This window comes from Homo sapiens, chromosome 15 (genome assembly GCF_000001405.40).
Source record: "Homo sapiens chromosome 15, GRCh38.p14 Primary Assembly".
NCBI lineage: Eukaryota > Metazoa > Chordata > Mammalia > Primates > Hominidae > Homo > Homo sapiens.
The window spans coordinates 90,246,478-90,273,485 of NC_000015.10; the positions used below are offsets into that span (position 1 = coordinate 90,246,478).

Here is a 27,008-nt window from a genome sequence, read left to right on the forward strand (position 1 = left end):
AGGGAATCCAGTTAACAGACTGCTGAGGCCAGGTGTAGTGGCTCACGCCTGTAATCCCAGCAGCACTTTGGGAGACCCAAGCAGGTGGATCACCTGAGGTCAAGAGTTTGAGACCAGCCTGACCAACATGGTGAAACCCCATCTCTCTGAAAATACAAAAATTAGCCCCGTGTGGTGGCAGATGCCTGTAATCCCAGCTACTCAGGAGGCTGACGCAGGAGAATCACTTGAACCCGGGAGGCAGAGGGTGCAGTGACCCGAGATTGAGCCATTGCACTCCAGCCTGGGCAACAGAGTGAGACTCTGTCTCAAAAAAAAAAAAAAAAAAAAAAAAAAAAAAAAAAAAAAAAAAATTGCTGAATTGTGGCAATTCAGGCAAGAAATGGTGGTCGAGGTCCTAGAATAGTCCCTAGAACACTAAATTGTTTGTTGATGCAATGAGTGTCCTGGAAGTCAAGGGACTGCAGAACATTTCCAGGAGGACCATTTCTTTCTTTCCTTTTTTTTTTTTCTTTTGAGACGGAGTCTCACTGTGTCATCCAGGCTGGAGTGCAGTGGCACGATCTTGGCTCACTGCAACCTCTGCGTCCTGGATTCAAGCAATTCTCCTGCCTAGGCCTCCTGAATAGCTGAGACTACAGGCGTGCGCCACCATGCCCAGCTAATTTTTGTATTTTTAGTAGAGACAGGGTTTCACCATATTGGCCAGGCTGGTCTCGAACTCCTGACCTCGTGATCCACCTGCCTCAGCCTCCCAAAGTGCTGGGATTACAGCCATGAGTCACCACACTGGCCTTTTTTTTCTTTTCTTTTCTTTTTTCTTTTTTTTTTTTTTTTAAGAGAGAGAGTCTCGCTGTATTGCCCAGCCTGGTCTCAAACTCCTGGCCTCCAGTAATCCTCCTGCCTCAGCTTCCCAAGGTGCTGGGATTAGCGATGTAGGCTGCCACTCCTAGCCAGGAGGAGAGTTTCATATGAGAGTATCATATGCTGAGGAAAGATCAAGAAGTCTGTGAATCGGGCAGCCCATTTCTCCATCAGCCAGGAAGGACATTGGTGTTGAGGTTGACATACCTATCAAGGACAATAACTACCATGGCTTCCAGTGTTTTGATGAAACCTCAGATGCATGACCTCTGGTTTCACATTGCTGTATCCCTGTATAGAGGGTTGTAGCACTCTATACATTTGCTGTGGCTGAACCGGGAAAGAAGGCATATGCAGATTTCTAGAGAAATTATAATTCCATCAAAGATTTTTTTGTTTGCTTTTTTTTTTTGAGACAGAGACTCCCTCTGTCGCCCAGGCTGGAGTGCAGTGGCGCGATCTCCGTTCACTGCAAGCTCCGGATTCACACCATTCTCCTGCCTCAGCCTTCCAAGTAGCTGGGACTACAGGCGCCCGCCACCATGCCCAGCTAATTTTTATTTTTTTATTTTTTTATTTTTAGTAGAGAGGGGGTTTCACCGTGTTAGCCAGGATGGTCTTGATCTCGTGACCTGGTGATCCGCCCACCTTGGCCTCCCAAAGTGCTGGGATTACAGGCGTGAGCCATCACACCCGGCCAGATATTTGTTTTTTTAAATACGAGTTCTCACTCTGTCACCCAAGCTGAAGTGCAGTGGCATAATCATAGCTCACGGCATCCTCTTAACTCCCATGCTCAAGAGATCCTCACACCTCAGTCTTCCTAGTAGCTGGGACTACAGGGCCTGCCACCTAGCCTTGCTGATTCTATGAAAGATTTTGAGGAGATGAGGAAGGCTGGTATCTTTCAAAGTGCAAAGTGATTTTGGTATAAACAGTTTCTTTGGGTTGCATTACATAGAAGTTTATCACTAACCTATGTTCCTGAACTATGAAACATGAATATGTGGGCAAAGAAATAGCTTATCTTTATAGACAATTAACAACAACAAAAACAGTCTATGAATTAGAGAATGTCCATGCCTTTTTTAGGCCGAGTTCAGTGGTTCATGCCTGTAATCCCACCACTTTGGGAAGCCAAGGTGGGCAGGTCACTTGAGGTCAGGAGTTCAAGATCAGCCTGGCCAACACAGCAAAACCCCATCTCTACAAAAAATACAAAAATTAGCCAGGCATGGTGGTGCGCACCTGTAGCCCCAGCTACTTGGGACGCTGAAGTGGGAGGATTGCTTGAGCCTGGGAAGCTAAGTAAAGTTGCAGTGAGCTGCGATCACACCACTGCAATCCAGCCTGGGCTACAAAGCAAGACCCTGTCTCAAAAAAAAAAAAAAAAAAAAAAAAAAAAAAAAAAAAAAAAGTCCATGTCTTTTTAAAAGGATGGAAACATTTTAAGTGTTCTCTAGATTTAGCCACACAGTATAATTTTAGGGTGACAAGTTGAGCTGAGTTGGGTGGAGGTGGTGAGCAGAAATCAAAGTGGGTGGATGTCAGGAAGAGAAGGTGACAGTGAAGGAGCACTGTGATAAGGCGGTTTGGTTATTCCTTAATGGAGCTGTCTCAGTCCACCAGAGGCAAAGCCTTGAAAGGCACGTGGCCTTACCATGGCTGTCACTCTTGAATGCATAGGCTTTGCTAGCTAAACTTAGAGTTACTAAAGAATTGAGCCCGGCGTGGTGGCACGCTCCTGTAGTCACAGCTACTGGGGAGGCTGAGGCAGGAGGATTGCTTGAGCCCAGGAGGTCCAGGCTGCAGTGAGCTATGATGGTGCATTCCACTGCACTCCAGCCTGGGCGACACAGCAAGACCCCGTCTCAAAAAAAAAAAAAAAAAAAAAAAGGGAGAATTGAGGAGAGGCAAACAGCTATTTGTCCTCATTATATGCTTGGCCAAATTCCTTGGCCCGGGGTTTAGGGAAAGATGGGAGTGCGGCGAGAACTGGCTTCGAAGCGGGAGGGCTGCAAGTCCCATGATACACCGGAAGAATCTGGCGTCGAGGCCGGCCAGCTCCAAAGGGCAAACGCTGTCTCCCCCACCCAAGGTAGCCTCGGCCCGCGCCCAAGTGGGTGTGGCTGCGGGAAAGCCCCGCCCCCAGGACGCTTCTCCAATGGGAACTGCCCTCGTGTCCATGGCAACGGCGGCGGCCACGGGCTTGCTAGAGGAAGCGCTGCCCCGGCAGCCGCAGCCACGGCCACCGGGAGCTAGGAGTGAACCCCTGCGGGGGAGCAGCTTCCCCCTCGCGATCGTGGGGACAGCCAGTCCTGTGAAACGAGGAGGCGGTTCCGGACGCCCAGAAACGCCCAGGGAGACCTGGAGCCGGGGGAAGAGGGGACATGAGCGGCCAGCTGAGTCCATCCCCAGGCGGCTAGGGGCGGACCCAGCAGCCCCTCAGCTCTCCTCGTAACCACGGGTGGGCAGTCTCCACCGTCACAGCCCAAAGGGTCTTAGCCATCGGGTGCCTGTCCCTAGTGTGTACACGTGCAGAAAATGAGTCCTGGGAGAGGGAAAGGGCCAGCGTAGGGGGCTTTTGGTCTTCAGCTGTATTTTATTTTATTTATTTATTTATTTATTTATTTAGAGACAGACTCTTGCTCTGTCGCCCAGGCTGGAGTGCAGTGGTGTGATCTCGGCTCACTGCAACCTCCACCTCCCAGGTTCAAGTGATTCTCCTCCCTCAGCCTCCCGAGTAGCTGGGATTACAGGCAACGCACCAGCACACCCAGCTAATTTTTGTATTTTTAGGAGAGACGGGATTTCACCGTGCTAGCCAGGCTGCTCTCCAACTCCAGACCTCAAGTGATCTGCCCGCCTCAGCCTCCCAACGTGCTGGGCCGATTCAGCTGTATTTTAAAGCGAAGGTCCCCCCAGCACTCACAGCCATCCTCTTTCCCAATTAGGAACAAAAGAGCCATGGTCATGGCCCATACCATCTGTGTCCAACTCCTGAAGGCACCCCTGTGCGTTGTATGATCCAGTGTGAACCTGGATGATTGGGGCTTGTCATCAGGGAATCCACATCTCACTGGTGTCTTCCACCCCCATGCACCTCCACCTACCTGGACACATCCCATTCCTCAGTGAAACAGTTTTGTCCTGAAGGGGCAGCAACTTTCCCTTATAACAGCATGAAGGTCGTTCTGGTGGATTCCTTCAGGCCTTCTAGGGCCTGAGGGAGGTCTGAGGTCTGATATACACTTCATTCCCACCCCGCAACCCCTCAGAATCTGAGAGAATGGAGCCGAGTACCTGTAGGACCATGGAATCAGAGGAAGACTATGTTGAGGAAAAGGAATCTGAGAAGTGTGTTAAAGAGGGAGTTACCAACCCCTCTAACTCTTCACAGCAGGCTCTCTTAAAAGCTGACTATAAGGCATTAAAAAATGGGGTTCCCTCACCCATTATGGCCACAAAAATTCCGAAGAAAGTCATAGCCCCAGTTGACACAGGCGACTTAGAAGCTGGGAGGAGGAAGAGAAGGCGGAAACGCAGGTAACTATTCCCTAGATCCCCTCAACTGCCCAGCTCCAGGGAGTCACCCATTGGCCTCCCTTCAACATCTGGAGGAGCTGGGATCTCAGATCTTCCCTTTAGCCTACAAAAGAGGACAGGAAATGCTGGAGTGTCATTAACCCTTTGATACAACAGAAACAAAATTCAGAACCATTTAGGCTGGCTCATTTTGGAATCCCAGCCTGTTTATGTCATCCTGGTCTGTCTTTTTTTTTTTTTTTTTGAGACAGAGTCTCGCTCTGTCGCCCAGGCTGGAGTACAGTGGCGTGATCTCGGCTCACGGCAAGCTCCGCCTCCCGGGTTCAGGCCATTCTCCTGCCTCAGCCTCCCGAGTAGCTGGGACTACAGGCACCTGCCACCACGCATGGCAAATTTTTTTTTTTTTTTTTGTATTTTTAGTAGAGACAGGGTTTCATTGTGTTAGCCAGGATGGTCTCTATCTCCTGACCTTGTGATCCACCCGCCTCGGCCTCCCAAAGTGCTGGGATTACAGGCATGAGCCACCGCGCCCAGCCCATCCTGGTCTGTCTTTTAAGTGGCTTCTAGAGAAAAGGAATTGTGTTGTGAATTTGTTGGATGTCTTTTCATCTGAGTACCTGTCCTTCCCTCCCACTCTTCCTGATTTATGCTATTCCTCCATTCCAGATCACTGGCCATCAACCTGACCAACTGCAAGTATGAGAGTGGTAAGCACCCAGCCCGTCGCTCACACTGTGGTGCATAACATGGTGCCTACAGCTGCTGTTCTTCCTCTGGAATGGACCCCCGATCAGGCTTCCAGCCCCTGGGGCCTGGCGGGCTTGCCTCTAACCTGTACTGAGCTTCCTAGGTGTCCTCTGCCTCAGACACTGGAAGCTGAGACATTGCCATTCCAGGTAGTCTCAGTGTTAGGGAGGGTATCCTCACAGTAAACAAGAAAAAAAAAAAAAAAAGTCCAAGAGCCACTACTGCCCCACCCTTCCCAGATTTTATTTATTTATTTTTGAGACAGAGTCTCGCTTTGTCATCCAGGCTGGAGTGCAGTATTGCAATCATAGCTTAATGCAGCCTTGAACTCCCGAGCTCAAGCCGTCTTCCTATCTGAGCTTCCCAGTAGCTGGGACTACAGGCCTGCACCACTATGCTCACCTAATTCTTTTTTTTTTTTTGAGACCGAGTTTTGCTCTTGTTGCCCAGGCTGGAATGCAATGGCGTGATCTCGACTCACTGCAACCTCCACCACCCAGGTTCAAGCGATTCTCCTGCCTCAGCCTCCCAAATAGCTGGGATTACAGGCATGTGCCACCACATCTGGCTAATTTTGTACTTTTAGTAGACAGAGTTTCTCCATGTTGGCCAGGCTGGTCTTGAACTCCTGACCTCAGGTGATCCACCCACCTCAGCCTCCCAAAGTGCTGGGATTACAGGCATGAGCCACCATGCCCAGCCTGCCCAGCTAATTCTTAAATGTTTTGTAGAGACAGAGTCTTGCTATGTTGCCCAGGCTGGTCTTGAACTCCTGGGCTCAAGTGATCCTCCCACTTCAGCTTCTCAAAGGCCTAGGATAACAGGCAGGAGCCACCATGCCAGACCCTTCCCAGATTTTACCAGAGATGAGACAAGCTTAAAACAGTTTTTTCAAGGAAGATTTGAAGGGACTTCAACGATTAAGAAAAAAAACAATCTCCAGCTAGGTCCTTCCCCTAATATTCCCTCTGGCATCTTTATAAGGAACCACACAAGTATGGAGTGTGAAGTGCCAGTGTGACCCCACCTATAGGCAGCTCTCCAAGCCATAAACATCCCTGATTGAGAGATAAGACTGACAGGAGCAGCTGGGCACGGTGGCTCATGCCTGTAATCCCAACACTTTGGGAGGCCAAGGCAGGCGAATCTCCTGAGGTCAGGAGTTCGAGACCAGACTGGCCAACATGGTAAAACCCCGTCTCTACTAAAAATACAAAAATTACCCAGGTGTGGTGGTGGGCGCCTGTAGTCCCAGCTATTGGGGACGCTGAGGCACGAGAATCTCTTGAACCTGGGAGGCGGAGGTTGCAGTGAGCCAAGACCGTGCCACTGCACTCCAGCACAAGGGCGAAACTCCGTCTCTAAAAAACAAACAAACAAACAAACAAAAAACCAGGTTCTAGTTTTCTCTGCTAGGTATTTTGGAAGGGCCCTGACAGCCCCTAAGAACTTGAAATTGTCATGTGGTAACTAAAGTACAGGGCTGAGGCAAGAACTACCTCCCTCTTCAACCTGCCCTCGGGTCAGGTGTATACCTTACCTGACCCAGCTACACAGTTCCAGGGCTTGTTGCTGGTGTCCATGCTGGCACTACTGATCTCCCTGTCTCTGCAGTGCGTCGGGCAGCCCAAATGTGTGGCCTGAAGGAGGTGGGGGAGGATGAAGAGTGGACTCTGTACTGGACAGACTGCGCTGTCTCACTGGAACGAGTCATGGACATGAAGAGGTTTCAGGTACCCATCTCCTGACCTGAGAGCCGACAGGGGCTAGGGCCCCAGAATGACTATTCCCACCTCCTTGCCCAGGCACCCAAGACTGCTACTCTTTGTGGCTGTCCCCTTGTGCAGACAAGAAAGACCACCCCCAGGGTCTTCTTTTCCAATGGAAAGATCTCCTCTTGGAGATTGTGGGTTTCTGGAATTACCCAAAGGAAGTTTCTGGTGGGCACATCCTATCTCATGATTTGCACTTTGCTTGGTGGCATCTGTGTGTAGCTGGCCCTCTCCAGGGTGGGTGAGCACATCTTAGGGAGAATACTGGGAGGCAGCTTCAGAGCTAACAGCAGGGCCAGTTGAATGATCCAGCCTTCTAAGCAACTTAGTTTAGCATTCCACATCCATTAGGAGACTGCGGGGTCCTGCCTGGTGGCAAGAAATTCAGGAATGATCCACCGGGGTCCACAAGAATAGAACTGCCTTGTGACATTTTTATTATCCTCTAATTGGGCGTTTGTGGTGATCAGCAATAAAATAATTTAAAAGAGTCTGCAGGCTTATTCTTTGGGGAAGCCAGGCAGGAAGTTGAGGAAATTAAAACCTGTCCCACAACTAGTCTTGGGAGAGGTGCCCAAGAGAGAAAGCAAGTGCTAGAAGTTCTCAAGAAGCTCCAGAGGAGGTTGGGTGTGGTGGCTCACACCTGTAATCCCACCACTTTGGGAGGCCAAGGCAGGTGGATCAATTCAGGTCAGGAGTTCACTTGAACCCAGGAGGTGGAGGTTGCAGTGAGCAGAGATCATGCCACTACACTCCAGCCTGTGTGACAGAGTGAGACCCTGTTTTTTTTTTTTTTAAAAAAAAAAGGCTGGGCACAGTGGCTCACGCCTGTAATCCCAACTCTTTGGGAGGCCGAGGCGGGCGGATCATGAGGTCAGGAGTTCAAGACCAGCCTGACCAACAGGGTAAAACCCCATCTCTACTAAAAATACAAAAATTAACCAGGCATGGTGGCGCACACTTGTAATCCCAGCTATTTAGGAGGCTGAGGCAGGAGAATCACTTGAACCCAGGAGGCGGAGGTTGCAGTGAGCCAAGATTGTGTCATTGCACTCCAGCCTGGGTGACAGAGTGAGACTCCATCTAAAAAAAAAAAAAAAAAAAGGACGCTCCAAAGGAGGGGCATTTGTAAAATGAGGAATGCAGGCTGGGCACGGTGGACGGTGGCTCTCGTGCCTGAAATCCCTTTGGGAAGCCAAGGTGGGCAGATTGCTTGAACTCAGGACTTTGAGACCAGCCTGGGCAACAGGCAAAACCCCATCTCTACCAAAAATACAAAAATAAAAAAATATTAGCCAGGCGTAGTGGTGCATGCTTTAGTCCCAGCCACTTGGGAGGCTGAGGCAGGAGGATCTCTTGAGCCTGGGAGGCAGAGGCCGCAGTGAGCTGAGATCACACCACTGCACTCCAGCCTGGGCGACAGAGGGAGACCCTGTCTCAGGGAAGGGGGAAAAAAAAAGGATAAGGATAACAATAATCAGCAGCATTTACTGAGGGCTTACTGTACAACAGACTCCGTGTTAAGTGCTTTTATAGTATTACCCCATTAAATCCTCAAGAACAGCCCTGAGCAGCAGATATCCCTTGGTTAGGACATGGAGGGTCAGAAATACTAAGTTCATACAGTGAGTGCGGCCAGTGATGGGGAAACCCAGTGGAGAGCACTTAGCATACTCTTTGTGGCTGTCCCCCTGTGCAGACAGGAAAGACCATCCCCAGGGTATTCTTTTCCAACGGAAAGATTCTCCTCCTGGGTCTCTGGAATTACCTGAAGGAAGTGTCTGGTGGGTACATCCTATCTCATTATTTGTTCTTTACTTGGTGGCATCCCGGATGCTGCCACCCATCCAGCAGGACAGAGCAGCCAGGGGTTTCTGGCAGGCACCAGGGTGATGCCATGCCCTCAGTGGGTGCCATGGCATCACATTCCTTGGGGCTGGTTCTTAGTTTCCTTTTATCTTTTGTGTCTTTTGGGGAATGCTTTCGTCTCATTGTCTGCTTTGTGCTATCATGCATTAGTTATTGTTAGAGGACTAGGCCTGGTGGTCTGAGGGGTGTTAGAAGGTGGACTGTGGAAGCCACAGTCTTGGCTAGTTACATTCCTTCTCACTGCCCCTCATTTGCTGAGCTCAGTGTGGATGTGTGTGTTGGGTAGGAGTCACAGAGGGTTTTCTCACCTGCCTTAAGGAACCTTCCTATGTTTGCCCTTGGGGTCCTTGGTGCAGTGCTTACCTCCACTGTGACTTCTCCCTTAACCTTCCCAATCCTCCTCCACTGCTTCCTGGGATGCCCAGGTGCTAGGAAATGCCACTTACTCTGGGGGCTCATACTAACTGGCTGTGTTTCAGAAAATCAACCACTTCCCTGGCATGACAGAAATCTGCCGCAAAGATCTGCTGGCTCGGAACCTCAACCGCATGTACAAACTCTATCCCTCTGAGTACAACATCTTCCCCCGCACCTGGTGCCTCCCCGCAGAGTGAGTGGGTCTGGCTTCCCATGCTGAGATACCAGGGGGAGGAAAAGGGTCGCTCTCAGAGCTCTGGTCTTGTGACCTAGGAATGTCTCAGAGGGATGGAAGTGGAATGAGAAAGTTTCAGCTGGTCAAAGAAAAGAGGGTCTGAGACTGAGTGCTCCAGGAAGAGCATGGACTAGATAGCAGGAAGAGCTCCATGCGGCCCCGGGAAAGCCTTGATGCACAGAAACCTTTTGACCAGGCCCTCTCTGCACATAGCTATGGGGACTTCCAGTCCTACGGTCGTCAGCGAAAAGCCCGCACATATATCTGCAAGCCAGACAGTGGCTGTCAGGGACGTGGCATCTTCATTACCCGAAATCCCCGGGAGATCAAGCCAGGAGAGCATATGATCTGCCAGCAATACATCTCCAAGGTGAAGGATGCCTCAGGACCATCAGCCTTCCCTAGTCCCCAGCACTGGGCTGCCTCATCTCTCCCAAAAGCCAGGGAGGAAGCTGGTCTTAGGCTTCTACCCTTCCCACTAGCCCCGTTTTCCTGGAGGCAGTATCCAGCCATGGTTCAGAACCAGCCTGCCTGGGGTTGAATCTCAGTTTCCACTTCCCAGATATGTGACCTTGGGCAAGTTTCTTACCCTCTCTCTGTGCCTCTGTCTCCTTCCTTTTTCTTTCTTTCTTTCTTTCTTTCTTTCTTTCTTTCTTTCTTTCTTTCTTTCTTTCTTTCTTTCCTTCCTTCCTTCCTTCCTTCCTTCCTTCCTTCTTTCTTTCTCCCTTTCCTTCCCTTCCTTTCTTCCTTCTTTCTCTCTACCTCTCTCTCTCTTTCTTTCGATGGAGTCTCTCTGTGTTGCCCAGGCTGGAGTGCAGCGGCACGATCTCAGCTCCCTGCAACCTCCGCCTCCCGGGTTCAAGCAATTCTCTGCCTCAGCCTCCTGAGTAGCTGGGATCACAGGCACCTGCCACCACGCCCAGTTAACTTTTGTATTTTTAGTAGAGACGGGGTTTCACCATCTTGGCCAGGCTGGTCTTGAACTCCTGAACTCGTGATCCACCCTCCTCAGCCTCTCAAAGCGCTGGGATTACAGGCATGAGCCACCATGCCTGGCCTCTCCTCATTTATTAAGTGGGAGTAATAACAGTAACTATTTTACATGGTTATTGTGGAAATTCAATTAGCTATGTGTGTGAAGCACTTAGAACAGCACATAGTAGGCACTTCAAAAGTGTTATTATTCCCTCATGGGTTTGCATGCTCCCAGCCCCTCCTCATTGATGGCTTCAAGTTTGATATGCGAGTCTACGTCCTGATCACATCCTGTGACCCTCTCCGGATCTTCACATATGAGGAGGGCCTAGCCCGTTTTGCCACCACGCCCTATATGGAGCCCAGCCATAACAACCTGGTAAGGGGACTGGGAAGCACTCTTCTTTTCCACTGCCAAAAGTGCTGAGGTTCTCTAGAGAAACATGGTAGAGAGGTTTGTCACTGTCACCAAAGAACAAGGAATGAAGCCAGCAAGAGCTGCAGCATCTAGCTGGGAGGCAAGTGTTTGGTAGGTGGTGAAGGAGAAAAGGTCAGCACCCGGAGGAGCCCAGCACACACTCTTCCCCAGGATCATCTAGAATAGCAGTCCTCTGGTGGAGAGAGACAGGAGACGAGAGATCCTCGGGAGGGGTGGGGAGCAACAAGGTAATGAAGGGCTGGAGAGGACGGCCGCATGCAGACAGTCTGAGACCACAGGGCCACTCTTTCCACAGGACAATGTCTGCATGCACCTGACCAACTATGCTATCAACAAACACAATGAGAATTTTGTCCGGGATGGCGCTGTGGGCAGTAAGAGGTACTCCCTACTCTGTTTTCTCCTGCTTCCTCTGCCCCTTAGCCCCACAGTCCCAGTAGCCCATGAAACCAAGCTGGCTCTTGGGAGGCTAATTGCCCAGGGAAACTCAGCCTTTATAGACCCTGTCCTGTGCCTGCACTTTGGAGCTCTAAGTGCAGCCCCAAACCTCACCCTGATAACTAGTCCCTGCTCCAAACTGCTAGCAGCCCTTCAAAGCCCGGGCATGCAATTAGCGTTAGTGTGAGGGAGCCTCCTGCCTACAGCCTGGCCCAGTGGCCTAGAAACTGGCCTTCCTCTGAGCACTGGGCCTCGCAGGAAGCTGTCGACACTCAACATCTGGCTGCAAGAGCACAGCTACAACCCTGGAGAGCTGTGGGGGGACATCGAGGACATCATCATCAAAACCATCATCTCAGCCCATTCTGTTCTACGCCACAACTACCGAACCTGTTTTCCCCAGTATCTGAATGGAGGTACATGTGCCTGTTTTGAAATCCTTGGTTTTGACATCTTGCTGGACCACAAGTTGAAGCCCTGGCTGCTAGAGGTGAGGATTATCTCCTAGGCTTTGCAAAACCAAGGTCCAGAGGCCTCCTTGAATAGGACACCTGGGACAGGGGTACACTCAGGTGGTGGAACACAGAATGGGAGATGTGAAAGCCCTGGGGTGGGCAGGAATGAGCAGAAGGCATAAGATCTCTACCCTTTTGACCTGCTGAGTCAAATCTTGGTGGTTTTTGGCCTCTACCGTAGGAATGCAGGTTTGGGATCCCCAGTGCCCTAATGTAAGTCTTTAGGGACACACTATCTAGAGAGGCAGGCCAGCTGATTTGCTCTCACTGGTCTGTGAATTGGAGATCTCTATGGCAGAGTTTTGTGGCCTTGGAAGCCAGAGCATCCAGCCTCCCCGGCTGAGGCCATGGGAGAGGAATATCTTAGACCCTCTAGTTAATGCCTGCAAGAGGCCACCACCTGCTCAGGTGGTCTGGGAAAGGGGTGTATAATGACTCCTCCTGGCAGGTAAACCACTCTCCAAGCTTTACCACGGACTCATGCCTTGATCAAGAAGTAAAGGATGCACTTCTCTGTGATGCTATGACCCTTGTCAACCTCCGGGGCTGTGACAAAAGGAAGGTGATGGAGGAGGATAAGCGGCGAGTCAAGGAACGGCTTTTCCAGTGCTACCGACAGCCACGAGAATCTAGGTGTGCTAGGTGTCTGGCATGTGTTTAGTTCTTCATTATTCCTGAGAGTAAAAGTCCTCCTTTAGATGAAGAATGTGGCCTGGGGCTGATTTGCTATCAAAAACAACTTTTTGCATAGATAATATGTTCATATTTGCATTAAAAAAATCACAGGACCAGGCTTGGTGGCTCATATCTGTAATCCCAGCACTTTGGGAGGCTGAGGCAGGAGGATTGCTTGAGCCCTAGAGTTCAACACCAGACTGGGCAACATGTGAGACTCTGTCCCTAAAACACAAAAAAGAAACAAAGGAATAATAATTAAAAAATAAAAAATTAGCTGGGCATGGTGACATGCCTGTATTCCCAGCTACTCAGGAGGCTGAGGTGGGATGGTTACTTGAGCCCAGGAGGTCAAGCCTGCAGTGAGCCATGTTTGCACCACTGCACTCCAGCCTGGGCAACAGAGTGAGACCCTGTTTCAAAAAAAAAAAAAGTCATATATCATAGATAAGTTCAAAATTTTAAAAATACAGAGGGTAGTCTTTCTCCTCCCCTTCTCCTCCAGGTACTCAGTTTTCCTCTCTGGAGCCAATCAACATTCCTACTATCATATGTATATAGTACGCATTTAATATATATGTATTTATACAAAATATTTTTCTCCCTGCCTACTCAGACAGAGGCATAACTTTCACACTGTCTGCACCCTGGTTAGCAACGTATTTTAGAGCCATTCTCATGTTAGCACATAAGGAACTTTCTGTGGTTTGATTAGCTGGTTTGTTTTTCTAACAAATCTCCTTTAGAAACCAGTTCCTGAGAAACTTTGTCATAAAGAAACACAGAAAACAGTTTAGTCATTCAATAATAGAGAATCGTTTACATCCGTGTTGGTCACCCATTGTTGTTTTCTTTGTAAAATGAGTTACAAACATGGTAACTGGTCACCGATACTAAAATTGTAATTTGTTAATGATACATACAAATGAATTTCAGTACATGTATAGTTATCACTATGATCACATTGCTCTTCCCACTTACATTCCAATATGCAGGGGCAGTGTGTGTTTGATTCCCCACGAGAGCCACAGGGCCTGGGACACCGTAAGCACTCAGATGTCTGCGTGATGAATGGGAGTGAAGTAGAACTGTAATATACTGGCTATTCCCACAAGACTGGACTGTGTACCTGAGGGTCATGAAATGTGTCTTTCAATAAGGAAAAATGGTTGAACAGTACTGGACTAAATAAACAAAATACAATCGTACACTAGAGTACTAGGCAGCCATTTAAAAATATTGTTGTGGCCAGGTGTGGTGGCTCACACCTGTAATCCCAGCATTTTGGGAGGCTGAGGTGGGTGGATCCCTTGAGCTCACGAGTTTGAGACCAGCCTGGGCAACAGGCAAAACCCTGTCTCTACAAAAAATACAAAAATTAGCCAAGCGTAATGGTGCGCGCCTATGGTCCCAGCTACTTAGGAGGCTGAGGTGAGAGGATGGCTTCAGCCTGGGAGGCTGAGGTTATAGCGAACTGAGACTGCATCACTGCACTCCAGCCTGGACGATAGAGTGAGACCTTGTTTCAAAAAATTAAATTAAAAAATAAAATAAAAATATTGTTGCATTATTTCATTTTCATTTGAAGAAAGCAAGCAAGCGGCCAGGTGCAGTGACTCAGGCCTGTAATCTCAGCCCTTTGGGAGGCTGAGGTGGGCGGATCAGGAGGTCAAGAGATCAAGACCATCCTGGCCAACATGGTGAAACCCCATCTCTACTAAAAATACAAAAATTAGCTGGGCGTGGTGGTGCATGCCTGTAATCCCAGCTACTCAGGAGGCTGAGGCAGGAGAATCGCTTGAACCCAGGAGGCGGAGGTTGCAGTGAGCTGAGATTGTGCCACTGCACTCCAGCCTGGGCGATAGAGCAGGACTCTGTCTCAAAAAAAAAAAAAAAAAAGAGAGAAAGAAAGGAAGGAAGGAAGGAAGGACACACGCATGCACGCACAAGCTAGTGAGTGGCAGAGCCAGGATTCAAAGTCAAGAGGTCCTGCCTCAGATTCATGCTCATAATCAACATGCTAATTGCATAGTAAGATTATGGAAGGCTTTATCTTCTTTCTGCTCTTCTAAATTTTCTGTAATGAACGTATATTACCTTTTTTTCTTGTTTTCTTTTTTTTTTTTTTGAGACTAGTCTCACTCTGTCATCTAGGCTGGAGTGCAGTGCCACGATCTTGGCTCACTGCAACTTCCACCTCCTGGGTTCAAAAAATTTTCCTGCCTCAGCCTCCCAAGTAGCTGGGACTACAGGCACACGCCACCAAGCCCAGATAATTTTTGTATTTTTAGTAGAAACAGGGTTTCGCTATGTTGGCCAGGCTGGTCTCGAATTCCCAACCTCAAGTGATCCACCCGCCTTGGCCTCCCAAAGTGCTTGCATTACAGGCGTGAGCCACCATGCCCGGCCACTTTTTTTTTTTTTTTCAAATGGAAAGCTAATATCAAAACATATGTTACTTTTACAATCAGAAACCTAAAAAACTATGATAATGGACTGCTAGCTTACGAGTAGACCCCTCTCCACTTAAGATGAAAATCAGGCCGAGTACGGTGGCTCACACCTATAATCCCAGCACTTTGGGAGGCCGAGGTGGGTGGATCACTTGAGGTCCGGCCTTGCCAACGTGGTGAAACCCTGTCTCTACTAAAAATACAAAAATTGGCCAGGCATGGTGGTGCATGCCTGTAATCCCAGCTACTTGGGAGGCTGAGGCAGGAGAACTGCTTAAACCTGGGAGGCAGAGGTTACAGTGAGCAGAGATTGTGCCAGTGCACTCCAGCATGGGCAACAGTGCAAGACCCTGTCTCAAAAAAGAAAAGAAAAGCAAATCAGATTTCTGGAAGTCAAGCCTATTTTCATGGCTACCCACATGTGGGGCTAGCCAAAGATGGGCTTGGCAGCTTTCCCTACTTGGGCAGGGGCCCAGGAGGTCAAGAAGCCAGCAGGAGGGTCTCCAAACCTTAGTCAGTCTTCCTTTCCCTACTGAACATTCCCACAGCCCTACTCTTGACTCACTGAGCTTGCTTTCCACAGGAAAGAAAAAACTGAGTCATCCCATGTGGCAATGCTGGACCAGGAACGATATGAGGATTCTCACCTGGGAAAATACCGGCGGATCTACCCTGGGCCTGACACAGAGAAGTATGCCCGCTTCTTCAAGCACAATGGCTCCCTCTTCCAAGAGACTGCTGCTTCCAAGGCCAGAGAGGAGTGTGCCAGGTACTTTGACCGACATTCTCCTCTGCACACCTAGGTGGGGACAAGTCCTGAAGCTGCATTGCTTCCCAGCAGGGAAAGAGGAAGCCAGACACCAGCAAAGAGGAATGGAGCTATAAATCCTATCAGACTCTTAGTGACTCTTTTCAGTTTAGTAGGTTTCCTATCTTCCCCTCTCATTGCTCTCGCATCAGTCCTAAGAACAGATTGTAATTTCCTGCTCTTTCCTCATCCCCATTTTTCCTCACCCCTCTTCTCCCCAACACCATTTCTCTACTGTCTGAAGCTGCTGTGTCTTGTCAGGCAGCAACTAGAGGAGATCCGCCTTAAGCAGGAACAGCAGGAGACCTCGGGCACTAAGAGGCAAAAGGCCAGGGACCAGAACCAGGGTGAATCAGCTGGGGAGAAAAGCCGACCCAGGGCAGGGCTCCAGAGCCTTTCCACCCACTTGGCTTACAGGAACCGCAACTGGGAGAAAGAGGTGCCAGGGGTTTTGTAGCTCTTATCTTTCCACAGGAAAATGGGTTGGGACAACTAGATAGGGGAATGAATCTCTGCTGTCTTCTCCTCCCCATGCACAAGAGAGAGAGGAGTTCCTAATCAGTAAATTGAATCCGATCCTTTGGAAGATGAAGTGAGAGAATGGACAGCAAAAGGAACCTTCCTGGGTCAGGGAAGGGATGAGGGTAGAGTGGGCAGGAGGCCTGTAGCCATCCTGGGTGATGGTTTGGGACTTATCCTTGGAGATCCTGCATTTATCTCTCATGTACCTTGTAGCTGCTGCCGGGACAGCTGGACACCATGAGGCCTCAAGAAATTGTGGAAGAGGAGGAGCTGGAGCGGATGAAGGCCCTGCTACAAAGGGAGACTCTCATCCGAAGCCTGGGTATTGTAGAGCAGCTCACCCGTCTGCAGCACCCTGGCCCCCAGGGCCAGAAAAAACTTCATGAGAGTCGGGTGAGGGTCCCTGTGAAGTCTCCCAGAGGAAAAGGGAACAAGGGCTGTCATTCCAGGACATGGTGTTGGTCTCAACAAAGGAGGCTTGTGTGATGGTATCTGTCAGTGGAGCCTGGGAAAGCAGAGTGCGCTAGCTGGACCTTGGGAGAGGGTCTGTTGATTCCTTTTGCGTCTGTTCCCAAGCTCCTTTGTTTTAGATATGACATCCAGCAAGTTGCAGCTCCAAACCTTCTCATTTACAGGAAACTTGCTCTCTATATTCCTGTCCCAAAATAACCCCACACTCATGACTGACAAATAACAAGCCCACCACCCTCAGTGGCTTCTGTATAATTTTCTCCCTAGCACTGCCAGTGCCCCAGCTCTAATGGGAGATAAGTAAACAGATTTGGGCCAACAAAAGAGCTGCCGCTTTCACTATTCCCTGGGCTGGTAGCAAACCTGTTGGGTCTTCTGTTTTTGTTGAACCCCAAAGGAGTATCTGGTTAAATAGTGGCCGCGGCCTAGAAGAGATTTTTTTCAGTTACCTCCTTCTTCCAACGCTCCATCCAAACTTACATAAAAATGTGGTAAGGGGCTGCTCTTCTCCTCTAGCCTAGATTTTGCTAGGACAGGCTGGGCAGTCAAGAACTGAAATCTATGAGTCTGGTCCTACTGGTGCTCCTAAGAGGGGCTGCCACAGAGCAGGGCGCTCCTCATTTCCTGCATCCAGTTCTGCCCCATGAATCAATCCCCAGGATCTTAGGGGCACTGCCAAGCATGAATGCTGCAATCCCACATGTTCCCCGGTACCATCTGCAGCCCAAGAACTTCAACTGGACAGGAGAGCCGGCAGCCATCAACTCCTGTTCATTGTCAATGAAGAAGGCTGGGAGGTGCTATTTTTCCAGTGCCAGAATCAGGCTCACTAGCCGTAAGTATGCAAAACTAGCTTTGGTCATTTTGACATATGTAAATCCCACTAGCAAGCATAGAGCTTGGATGCCCCTAAAATATAATATGGCACTTCCACCAGTGTAAGAATGGGGAAGTTAGGGTACCCATTTATTTACTCCTTTTTTTTTGAGACAAGGTCACGCTCTGTCGCCAAGGCTGAAGTACAATGGCTTGATCTCACTTCACTGCAAACTCCACTCACGGGCTCAAGTAATTCTCCTGACTCAGCCTCCTGAGTAGCTGGGACTATAGGCACACACCACCATGCTCGGCTAACTTTTGTATATTTTGTTTTTGCCACGTAGCCCAGGCTGGTCTTGAACTCCTGATCCACCTGAATCAGTCTCCCAAAGTGCTAGGATTACAGGTGTAAGCCACCGCACCAGGCCTATTTAATCCTTTCTGTACACTAGACCCTGGTGATAGAAATGGCAGAAATACAGTCCCAGCACTCAAGAGGTAATAGGAACATGGACAAAAAGACATACCATACCAATTACAATACAGTGTGGGAAAGACAGTGGAGGGAAGCATGAGATGCCCTTCCTCTGTGTTGGTAATTGGGCCACAGTTGGGAAAGAGGTGAACAAATCTCTTCTGTGAATACCAACTCAGGGACATCCATGTTTCCACTGCAGAAGGACAAGCCAGCAGAAGGCTAGAAGCCATAAACCGAGTCCTGGCAGGATCAGTGCCACCCACTTTAACCCCAAAGCAGGGCTATTTTCTGCAACCGGAAAGAGTGGCATCTGACTCATGGACTGAATGCACCTTGCCCTCCATGGTAAACTCTGAACACAGAGCAGCCAAGGTTCCCCTCTGCCCTGCGTCTGCACCCATGCTGCAGCGTTCCAGAGCACTCCTCAACATCAATCAGTTCAGGTAAAAGCAGGAGGGAAGCACTCTACCTCTCCTGGATAACCTCCCCAGGTTTCCAAAGGGCATTAAATCTTTGCTAAATGAATGACTGCCACCAAGTTCCACTTTGAAAAGCCCTGCCCAGGAACCCCATTTGTATAAGGCAAAATACAAAGACACCAAGAATTCCTCAATACCCTAAGATTAATTGGGGATCGGTAAAGACTAGAAGATGAAGAGGCGCCAAGGCCAGCCATGTACTCATTTCTGCTCATCAAGCCTTAGCCTGGGTTTATCGCTAGGTGATGGGTCTGAACCCTAGGTGCGGCCCGGGGCTGGAGGCCATCCAGGAGACAATGAGCCCCTTTCCCAGAGAAGCCGAGTGCCCAAGGCACTGGGCTGTCGCCGTCAGAAGACTGCCGAGCGGAAGCCCTGCCCACCGAGGTGGCGGAGACAGGCAGGCCTGGGCAGCCGCTGGGGCGGAGGGACGGCTCTTGGAAACGGAATCCGTACTTTAATTAAAGTTTATGCAGTTTTCCAGGAGCGTCCTGTACCTCATTTCGGCCCTCACGTTTCAGGGAAGCCCTCTCCACAGTTACAGGCAGAAAGGGTGGGCCACTGAGCAGCGTGAGCCCAGATCTTACCCCCACCAAGTGAAGCGGGAAATAACTTGCTACTACCCAGCCTCCGGCCCGCCCCTTCCACTTCCGGTCTTACCCGGCTACTTCCGCTGCTGTTTCGTAGCCGACTGCTGAAGGCTGGTTTGCGTCGACATGGCGGTTACCCTGAGTCTCTTGCTGGGCGGGCGCGTTTGCGCCGCCGTCACTCGCTGTGGGTTCGCGACCCGGGGGGTGGCGGGCCCAGGCCCTATTGGCCGGGAGCCGGACCCCGATTCCGACTGGGAGCCGGAGGAACGGGAGCTGCAGGAGGTGGAGAGGTACCGGCTTCTCCCCGGGCCCTCAGCTTGAAGCAGGGCCTCGTGCCCCGGCGCTCCAGGCCGCGCCCCCTTGGCGCCGGGTGTCCTGCCGCTGCTTGCGCAGCGGCCCTTGTTTCTTCTTACCCGTTGTTAGGGGCGCAGCGTCAGGTGTTCAGCTCCCCTGGGACCACTGGTCCCTTCATTAGTGACGTATTTCATCATCAGTTTAGAGAGTTCGGCATGCTTACAGGCAGTTATTGTTCTAGGTGTTAGCTTTCTGGGTGTACGGAGCAGCTCTAAGCCGGCAACATGGCCCGGTTGCCCTTGCGATCAAAGAGAAGAGGGCTGGGCGCTCCATGATTTAGCCTGAGGCTCTTCAAACATCCATTCTGCTTCCACGCATGGCTTCTGCCATTGGTTCTCTTCCCCCAGCACCCTGAAACGACAGAAACAAGCAATCCGATTCCAGAAAATTCGGAGGCAAATGGAGGCGCCTGGTGCCCCGCCCAGGACCCTGACGTGGGAAGCCATGGAGCAGATACGGTGAGACTCAGGATACCTTGTTTGTATCCGCTGTGATGAGAAGTGAAGGATGCTGGAGCCCAGAAACGGGTTTGGCTTTTTTGATACTGCTTTTATATTTTCGTTTACTTTTTGTCGTTGAAATTTATTATCAGAAAAGTAGAGTAATATAACGAACTTCCCTAACCCTGTCATTATCTAGATTTAATAGTGTTTTGTTTTGTTTTTTAAAGAGACGGGGTTTCGCTATCGCCTCGAACTCCAGACCTCAAGTGATTCTCCCGCCTCGGCCTCTCAGAGTGCTGGGATTACAGGCATGAGCCACTGCGCCCCGCCTGGTTTTAATAGTTTTTAACGTTATGACGTGGTTGGTTCATTTTTACTGAAATTTTTAAATAGTAAATCGCAGACATCACAACATTTAACCCTTGAATGTAGGTTGTGACGTTCCCAACCTAAGGTACAGGGATGCTGGTGCTTCCATAGGTAGGTGCATTTTTCTGAAGACAGGATCTATAATTTAGGAAAGCTTAAAAGAGTTTTTAAGTTTTTTTGTTTTGAGTAGGTAAAGTATTACATATGGCTCAACCTAACAGTATAACATGGTATACACATTGAGAATTATTTGTCCCACCCACTCTCCTGTGGGTACTTTTTTTTTTTTTTTTTGGTAGTTGGGGGTCTCACTCTGTCGCCAAGGCTGGAGTACAATGATGTGATCACCGGTCACTGCAGCCTCTACCTCCTGGGCCCAAGCCATCCTCCCACTTCGTCCTCCCAAGTAGCTGGGACTACAGGTGCATGCCACCATGCTTGGTTAATTTTGTTTATTTTTTGTAGAGATAGCCTCATCATGTTGCCCATGCTAGTCTCCAATTCCCAGGGCTCAAGCGATCATCCCACCTCAGCCTCCTAAAGTGTTGGGATTACAGGCATGAGCCACTGTGTGCAGCTGTACTATTTTTAATAGTTTTTCTCTACCAAAAACTAGGCTCTGTGCCCTGAGTGAGCCACTGCGCCTGGCCCTCAATTCTTTTTTTATAGATGGTGTTATTATATTTTTTTGAGGCAGTATATGAGGCAGTATATGACAGTGGTTTTTAATTTTTATTTAAACAATTTTTTCTCCTATTTATTTATTTGACAGAGATGGGGGTCTCACTATGATGACCAGGCTGGTCTCAAACTTCTGGCCTCAACTGATCTTCCCATCTCGGCCTCCCAAAGTGCTGGGATTAGAGGCGTAAGCCACCATGCCTGGCCAGAATGCATTATTTAACCTGTCTTTTATTGTGGGCATTTAGTTGGGTTGTTTCCATTTCTGTTGCTCACTAATAGTGCCCCAGTGAATAACTACGTATGTGTATCATTCTGCATACCTGCCAGGAATATTTGTTATATACATTCCCAGAAGTAAGGTTGCCAGGTCAAAAGACAAATGCATTTGCAATTTGATAAATATTGCTAAGTAGCCCTACATAGATTATGTACTATTTTTCATTTCCATCAGAATGACTCTGGAATTGAAATTTAAAATAAAGGGGATTCTGTAGAGCTGCTCAAGATTTTGTGAGCCTGTAGCACCTTCTGAGTCCTCAGTCAGGTCTAGCTCCTCTTTTTTTCGTTTGTTTGTTTGTTTTTTGTTTGAGGCAGTCTCACTCTGTCGCCCAGGCCAGAGTGCAGTGGCGAAATCTCAGCTCACTGCAGCCTCTGCCTCCAGGTTCAAGAGATTCTTGGACCTCAGCCTCCCAAGTAGCTGGGATTACAGGCGTGCACCACCACACCTGGCTAATTTTTGTATTTTTAGTAGAGACAGAGTTTCACCATGTTGGCCAGGCTGGTCTCAAACCCCTGACCTCAGGTGATCCACCCACCTCGGCCTCCCAAAGTGCTGGGATTACAGGCATGAGCCACCATGCCGGCCTCTATCTCCTGTCTTCAACAATAGCTTTTTCAAACCTTCCACCTTCCTACTTATCTCCCTTTATTGTGGTCAATAAATGTCCTTTTAAGAGGAAAAAAAAAAAACAGTCCATTAAGTAAAAACTTTCAGCTTCCTGGTCTTCCTCTTTGCCCACTACTCTCAAACTTATACTCTACTCCCATTTCAGAGGAAATGGGAGCCCTTCACTTGTCTGGGACCAATTCTCTGTATGCTTTAGGTCATATTTCTCCCTGCATAAGATTACTCAAGGACCTCTGTCCTCAACCTAAAGCTCTCTCTCATTCTTTTGTTCCCAGCTGGTTCCCAGGGTGCCTACCCTTTGTTTGTTTGTATCACTGCAATAAAACTGCTCTCCTTAAATCCATCAGTGACTTCCTCAGTGCTAGGCTCAAAAAGACACTTTGTAGTCCTTAGCGTCCTAAATAATTCAGCAGCATTTGCCCTTGTAAAAACTGCCTTTTAAATTAAAATATATATATATATTTTAAATAAAGACAGGATTTTGCCATGTTGCCCAACCTGGTCTCCAGTTTCTGAGCTCAAGCGATCTGCCTGCCTTGGCCTCCCAAAGTGTTAGGATTACAGGTGTGAGCTACTGCACCCAGCTGAAACTGCTTTCTCCCACCCCCCCCCCCCCATTATTTATTTATTGATTGACACTGATTCTCTCTTTTTTTTTTTTTTTTTTTTTTGAGACGGAGTCTCATTCTGCTGCCAGGCTGGAGTGCAGTGGCATGATCTTGGCTCACTGCAACCTCTGCCTCCTGGGTTCAAGTGATTGTCGTGCCTCAGCCTTCCAAGTAGATGGAATTACAGGTGCACACCACTATACCTGGCTAATTTTTTTTTTTTTTTTTTTTTTTTTGGATTTTTAGTAGAGGTTGGGTTCAGCGTGTTGGCCAGGCTGGTCTTGAACTCCTGACCTCAAGTGATCTGCCTGCCTTAGCCTCCCAAAAGTGCTGGGATTACAGGCGGGCGTGAGCCACCATACCCAGCCTTTTTTTATTTTTATTATTTTAATTTTACTTTAAGTTCTGGGGTACATGTGCAGAATGTGCAGGTTTGTTATATAGGTGTACATGTGCCATGGTGAACTGCTTTCTTAAAATTCTCTTCTCCCTTGACTCCAGGGTACCATTCCCTTCTGATCTTTTTTTCTTTGTTTCTAGGGCTGCTTTTCTCAGTTTCCTTCCTGGGCTCCTCTTCTACCTCCTATATCTTAAATATTGTTATTTCATAGAGTTCTGTCCTTGTCATTTTAGTTCACTCTGCATATTTCCCTGCCTGATGCTAGCCACTCAGTCACCCCTGCTATTGGCTTATGACTTCCAAATCTGTCATCTCCAGTTCATGTTTTTTTTCCTGAAATCTAAAGGCATATATTCAACTGTGTACCAGACATCTCTGTTTTGGATATCACAGTTTCCTCAAACTCAGCATGTACAAAATAGAATTCATCGTTGTTCCCTGACAACTTCATTCTGTTCCTGTTTTTCCTATAACCTACTGATTACCCAAGCTAAAATCCTGCATCTTGGCCTTGATGATGCTTCCCCCAATATTTAGTCCCTTAGTACCAAGTTGTACTATTTGACTTTCTTAAAATATTTCTCAACTCACTTTCCTCCTATGCTCCATTGACTGTCTCACTCGAGACTATCTGGATTACTGTAAAAGCCTCTTGACCAATCTTTCTGCCTATACTTTTGTCACTGAAAAACTACCACTAGGTTGAATTCCTTTTTTTCTTTTTTTAATAGAGATGGGATCTCCCTGTTTCCCAGGCTGGTCTCGAACTCCTGGGCTCAAGCAATCCTCCTGCCTCAGCCTCTCAAAGTGCTGGGAGTGAGCCATTGTGCCAGGCTGTAGGTTGAACTTCAAAATGAAAATTTATCTGTGGCATTCCACTGCTTAAAATTTTTCCTTGACTTGCTGTTGCCTTGGGATAAACTCCAGACCCCTAAGTGTGATCTACTTCTTACCCTCACTGTCAGTTGAGTTATTCCCAACAAAGGTGATGTGCCGCTTTACATTTCACAAGCTCTTCACTTTATCATCAGTATCTTTCATCTCTCCTTCTCTCCTCCCTTCTGCCAGCTTATTACTCCTTTCATCCTTTCAGACCAACTCTAGCTTGGACTTCATGAAGCAATTCCTGGGCCTGGCTATAAGTGTTCTTATTCCCTATATCTGGGTCTCCCTCCTGGGGTGCTGTCTTTGCATCCTGTGCTATAACCTTTACCATAATGTCATTTATTTTGTCTGTCCCCACTCCCAAACTATGTAATGGGAAGGTCAGTCCTCCTGCGTCCCCAGGATCTATTGTGGTATTAGATGTCAGTGAGAGGAGCTGAGTTGATGTGAAATGAAGTGACCTGACTGACAGTGGTCAGGTGTTGCTGTTGACACACAGAAATGGAACACAGCCATTTAACTAGCACAAGATAGGGACTAGCACAAGATTTAGCTAGCACAAGATAGGGACTACATTTGCGGTTTTTCAAGCTCTCTTTTTTTGTTTTTTTGGGAGAGTCTCACTCTGTTGCCCAGGCTGGAGTGCAGTGGTGCAGTGGTGCAATCTCGGCTCACCGCAGCCTTCACCTCCCAGGTTCAAGTGATTCTTGTGCCACGTGGTAGCTCATGCCTGTAATCCCAGCTACTTCGGAGGCTCAGGCACAAGAATCACTGGTCTCGAACTCCTGGGCTCAAGTGATCCGCCTATCTCGGCCTCTCAGAGTTCTGGGATTACAGGTGTGAGCCACCATGCCAGGCCTCAACCCCTCTTCTTTATCATAGGTATTGCGAGTTAGATGTTCTGATAGGAGACTTCTTCACAACTTGCAAACCTGCTCCTTCTTCCCGTAGGTATTTACATGAGGAATTTCCAGAGTCCTGGTCAGTTCCCAGGTTGGCTGAAGGCTTTGATGTCAGCACTGATGTGATCCGAAGAGTTTTAAAAAGCAAGTTTTTACCCACATTGGAGCAGAAGCTGAAGCAGGATCAAAAAGTCCTTAAGAAAGCTGGGCTTGCCCACTCGCTGCAGCACCTCCGGGGCTCTGGAAATACCTCAAAGCTGCTCCCTGCAGGCCACTCTGTATCAGGCTCTTTGCTTATGCCAGGGCATGAAGCCTCATCTAAAGACCCAAATCACAGCACAGCTTTGAAAGTGATAGAGTCAGACACTCACAGGACAAATACACCAAGGAGAAGGAAGGGAAGAAATAAAGAAATCCAGGACCTGGAGGAGAGCTTTGTGCCTGTTGCTGCACCCCTAGGTCATCCAAGAGAGCTGCAGAAGTACTCCAGTGATTCTGAGAGCCCCAGAGGAACTGGCAGTGGTGCGTTGCCAAGTGGTCAGAAGCTGGAGGAGTTGAAGGCAGAGGAGCCAGATAACTTCAGCAGCAAAGTAGTGCAGAGGGGCCGAGAGTTCTTTGACAGCAACGGGAACTTCCTGTACAGAATTTGAGTCGGGGCTTGGCTTATGGAGATGCCTCGTGAAACACAGCTGGGCAAGTATTAATGTATATGGAACAGCCTGGATTTCTGCATATGGATAAGCCACCTTGGAATAGGAAGAGGTGTTGAGCCTGGACTGTGGGAGGAAAGAGCTGCGTGGATAGATTCAAACTTCCTGTGGTAGTGCTCCCAGTCTGACCTCTGTAGACCTTCAGTACTCACTCTTCTTGCTTAGGCTCTCTGTGTGTTGAAAGCCATCCCGTGTTGCATGTGTTGTTACAATTTTCTGTGATACTTGCAATTTATGTTTGAGAAGAAGTGAAAAGTTTGCCTTCTGACCTCATTTCCTTCTTGATCAGTGAACACTAACATTTTGGGGACAACTTAGTCAATTGGTTTTCCTTACAACAAAATAAAGTAAAATGTAGCAGTCTGCCTCTTTGGTGCTCTTTGGGGTGGGATGGTTTACCTGTGAACCTTGGAGAGAGGGAAGGACAAAGGCAGAAAGGAAGGATCCCTGGTCAGTAAACATTGGGAGAGAGATGGAACCAGAGGAATTTCCCAGCAAAGGGCTCTGTGCAGAGCATCCTGCTTAGTGAGGGATTCTGACAACTGAAAACTGGACGCCTTTCTTTTAGTTGCTGGGGTTCTGGCAGAGATTGGGAAATGAGGGGTTGGCAGAAAATACAAAGCAGGCAAAGGCTTTAGGGCCCTTATAATCTCCAGCCACATTTTAAAGTTTATATTAAGAGCTGGGCATGGCAGAATGTGCCTACAGTCCCAGTTACTTGGGAGGCCGAGGTGGGAGAATCGCTTGAGCCTCGGAGGTTGAGGCTGCAGTGAGCTATGATTGCACCACTGCACTCCAGCCTGGGATAACAGTGAGACCCCCATCTCTAAATAAAATCAATCGATCTTCAATTATGTCTCATTATACAGTTTACTTAACCAGATTTTTACAATGGTGCCATGGTGTAGGCAATCCCGGATTAAGAGGTCCCTTTTACAAATAAGGAAATAGACTTTAAGATGGCTGCCAGTAAGTGGCAGTGCTGGGACTTAACTCGGGTCTCATCATTAATCCAGGGCTTCTGGAATTCCGGGAATATGGCACTGTCTGCCATAATTTTGTTAATTTACTGCTTGTTTTAGAAATACATCTGTTATAACTAGAAATTCGGGGACAGCTTAGTCAATTTGTTTTCCTTACAAGCAAAATAAAGTAAAATGTAGCAGTCTGCTCATTAGTGCTCTGGTGGGATGGTTTACCTGTGAACCTTGGAGAACCATGTCCTGCTTTCACAATTTACCAGGAAAAATGGCTACTCCGAATTTAAATATATGTAGGACATTAATGGAAACACCTACATTCCAACTCAGTCATTGCCACTCTGTAGAATCTTACTGCTATTTCAAATGTCCAATTACAGCAATTAAAATACTGATTACTGTTGCTTTTATCAATTATTATTGATAACTTGAGGATCTGTTCTCAGTATAAATGACAAAGCCCTGTCACATGCCAAGCAAAATTCTACGATCCAGATGCTGGTAATACAACAGTGGGCAGATAGGACCTTTGCTGTCACTGCCCTGTCACTATCATGTAGTTCATAGTAGAAGCTTATCAGTATTTTTATGGTTTTGTTATATTTATGGTATTTAATTGTTAAAGATGTGTTAGATGCTGTTTGATTGTTTAAATTT

At 48.3% G+C, this 27,008-nt stretch overlaps 3 protein-coding genes across 4 annotated transcripts in view, besides 7 other annotated features; 2 read left to right on the top strand and 1 right to left on the bottom strand.

Moving 5' to 3' along the window:
• Nucleotides 1–19,282, bottom strand: part of CIB1 (calcium and integrin binding 1) — a 35,785-nt gene extending 16,503 nt beyond the window's left edge. The window contains exon 1 of the transcript NR_102428.1: nucleotides 19,180–19,282. The gene's annotated coding sequence lies outside the window, so the exon portion shown is untranslated. The remainder of the gene's footprint in view (nucleotides 1–19,179) is intronic.
• TTLL13 (tubulin tyrosine ligase like 13) lies at nucleotides 3,079–19,000 on the top strand. Its single transcript, NM_001396017.1, has 15 exons — nucleotides 3,079–3,331; nucleotides 4,143–4,410; nucleotides 5,077–5,117; nucleotides 6,772–6,890; nucleotides 9,278–9,408; nucleotides 9,664–9,820; nucleotides 10,661–10,804; nucleotides 11,160–11,245; nucleotides 11,561–11,792; nucleotides 12,266–12,450; nucleotides 15,529–15,714; nucleotides 16,015–16,192; nucleotides 16,489–16,668; nucleotides 17,470–17,581; nucleotides 18,243–19,000. The coding sequence occupies exons 2-15, from the start codon at nucleotides 4,154–4,156 to the stop codon at nucleotides 18,488–18,490; spliced, it is 2,256 nt and encodes a 751-aa protein (NP_001382946.1). The 5' UTR covers nucleotides 3,079–3,331; nucleotides 4,143–4,153; the 3' UTR covers nucleotides 18,491–19,000.
• Nucleotides 13,062–13,111: an enhancer, noted in NCBI's record as "active region_10069". NCBI's record gives its function as "activates an Ori minimal core promoter by ATAC-STARR-seq in GM12878 lymphoblastoid cells {active_cell/tissue: GM12878}" and the evidence as "EXISTENCE:reporter gene assay evidence [ECO:0000049][PMID:35858748]".
• Nucleotides 13,132–13,361: an enhancer, noted in NCBI's record as "active region_10070". NCBI's record gives its function as "activates an Ori minimal core promoter by ATAC-STARR-seq in GM12878 lymphoblastoid cells {active_cell/tissue: GM12878}" and the evidence as "EXISTENCE:reporter gene assay evidence [ECO:0000049][PMID:35858748]".
• Nucleotides 18,207–19,178: an enhancer, noted in NCBI's record as "H3K27ac hESC enhancer chr15:90807916-90808887 (GRCh37/hg19 assembly coordinates)". NCBI's record gives its function as "activates a minimal SCP1, AML or CMV promoter by ChIP-STARR-seq in primed H9 embryonic stem cells {active_cell/tissue: H9 hESC(primed)}" and the evidence as "EXISTENCE:reporter gene assay evidence [ECO:0000049][PMID:30033119]".
• Nucleotides 18,666–18,795: an enhancer, noted in NCBI's record as "active region_10071". NCBI's record gives its function as "activates an Ori minimal core promoter by ATAC-STARR-seq in GM12878 lymphoblastoid cells {active_cell/tissue: GM12878}" and the evidence as "EXISTENCE:reporter gene assay evidence [ECO:0000049][PMID:35858748]".
• Nucleotides 19,156–19,385: an enhancer, noted in NCBI's record as "active region_10072". NCBI's record gives its function as "activates an Ori minimal core promoter by ATAC-STARR-seq in GM12878 lymphoblastoid cells {active_cell/tissue: GM12878}" and the evidence as "EXISTENCE:reporter gene assay evidence [ECO:0000049][PMID:35858748]".
• Nucleotides 19,156–20,149: a biological region, named in NCBI's record as "H3K27ac hESC enhancer GRCh37_chr15:90808888-90809858".
• Nucleotides 19,179–20,149: an enhancer, noted in NCBI's record as "H3K27ac hESC enhancer chr15:90808888-90809858 (GRCh37/hg19 assembly coordinates)". NCBI's record gives its function as "activates a minimal SCP1, AML or CMV promoter by ChIP-STARR-seq in primed H9 embryonic stem cells {active_cell/tissue: H9 hESC(primed)}" and the evidence as "EXISTENCE:reporter gene assay evidence [ECO:0000049][PMID:30033119]".
• Nucleotides 19,186–25,734, top strand: NGRN (neugrin, neurite outgrowth associated). Of its 2 annotated transcripts, NM_001033088.3 has the most exons (3): nucleotides 19,195–19,399; nucleotides 19,811–19,921; nucleotides 24,711–25,734. In NM_001033088.3, the coding sequence occupies exons 1-3, from the start codon at nucleotides 19,236–19,238 to the stop codon at nucleotides 25,309–25,311; spliced, it is 876 nt and encodes a 291-aa protein (NP_001028260.2). In that variant the 5' UTR covers nucleotides 19,195–19,235; the 3' UTR covers nucleotides 25,312–25,734. The 2 variants fall into 2 exon arrangements, 1 of the variants encoding a protein (NP_001028260.2); NR_028052.1 differs by having other exon boundaries at nucleotides 19,186–19,921.
• The last annotated feature ends 1,274 nt before the right edge of the window (nucleotides 25,735–27,008 follow it).

Excerpts from the sequence above, each read along its gene's own strand:
- TTLL13 (NM_001396017.1), top strand. The coding sequence starts at position 4,154 with ATGGAGCCGAGTACCTGTAGGACCATGGAATCAGAGGAAGACTATGTT. Across the intron at positions 9,821-10,660 it reads GCCAGCAATACATCTCCAAG|CCCCTCCTCATTGATGGCTT; the intron begins GTGAAGGATGCC and ends GCATGCTCCCAG. Across the intron at positions 17,582-18,242 it reads CAGAATCAGGCTCACTAGCC|AAGGACAAGCCAGCAGAAGG; the intron begins GTAAGTATGCAA and ends TTTCCACTGCAG.
- NGRN (NM_001033088.3), top strand. The coding sequence starts at position 19,236 with ATGGCGGTTACCCTGAGTCTCTTGCTGGGCGGGCGCGTTTGCGCCGCC. Across the intron at positions 19,400-19,810 it reads GAGCTGCAGGAGGTGGAGAG|CACCCTGAAACGACAGAAAC; the intron begins GTACCGGCTTCT and ends CTCTTCCCCCAG. Across the intron at positions 19,922-24,710 it reads GAAGCCATGGAGCAGATACG|GTATTTACATGAGGAATTTC; the intron begins GTGAGACTCAGG and ends TTCTTCCCGTAG.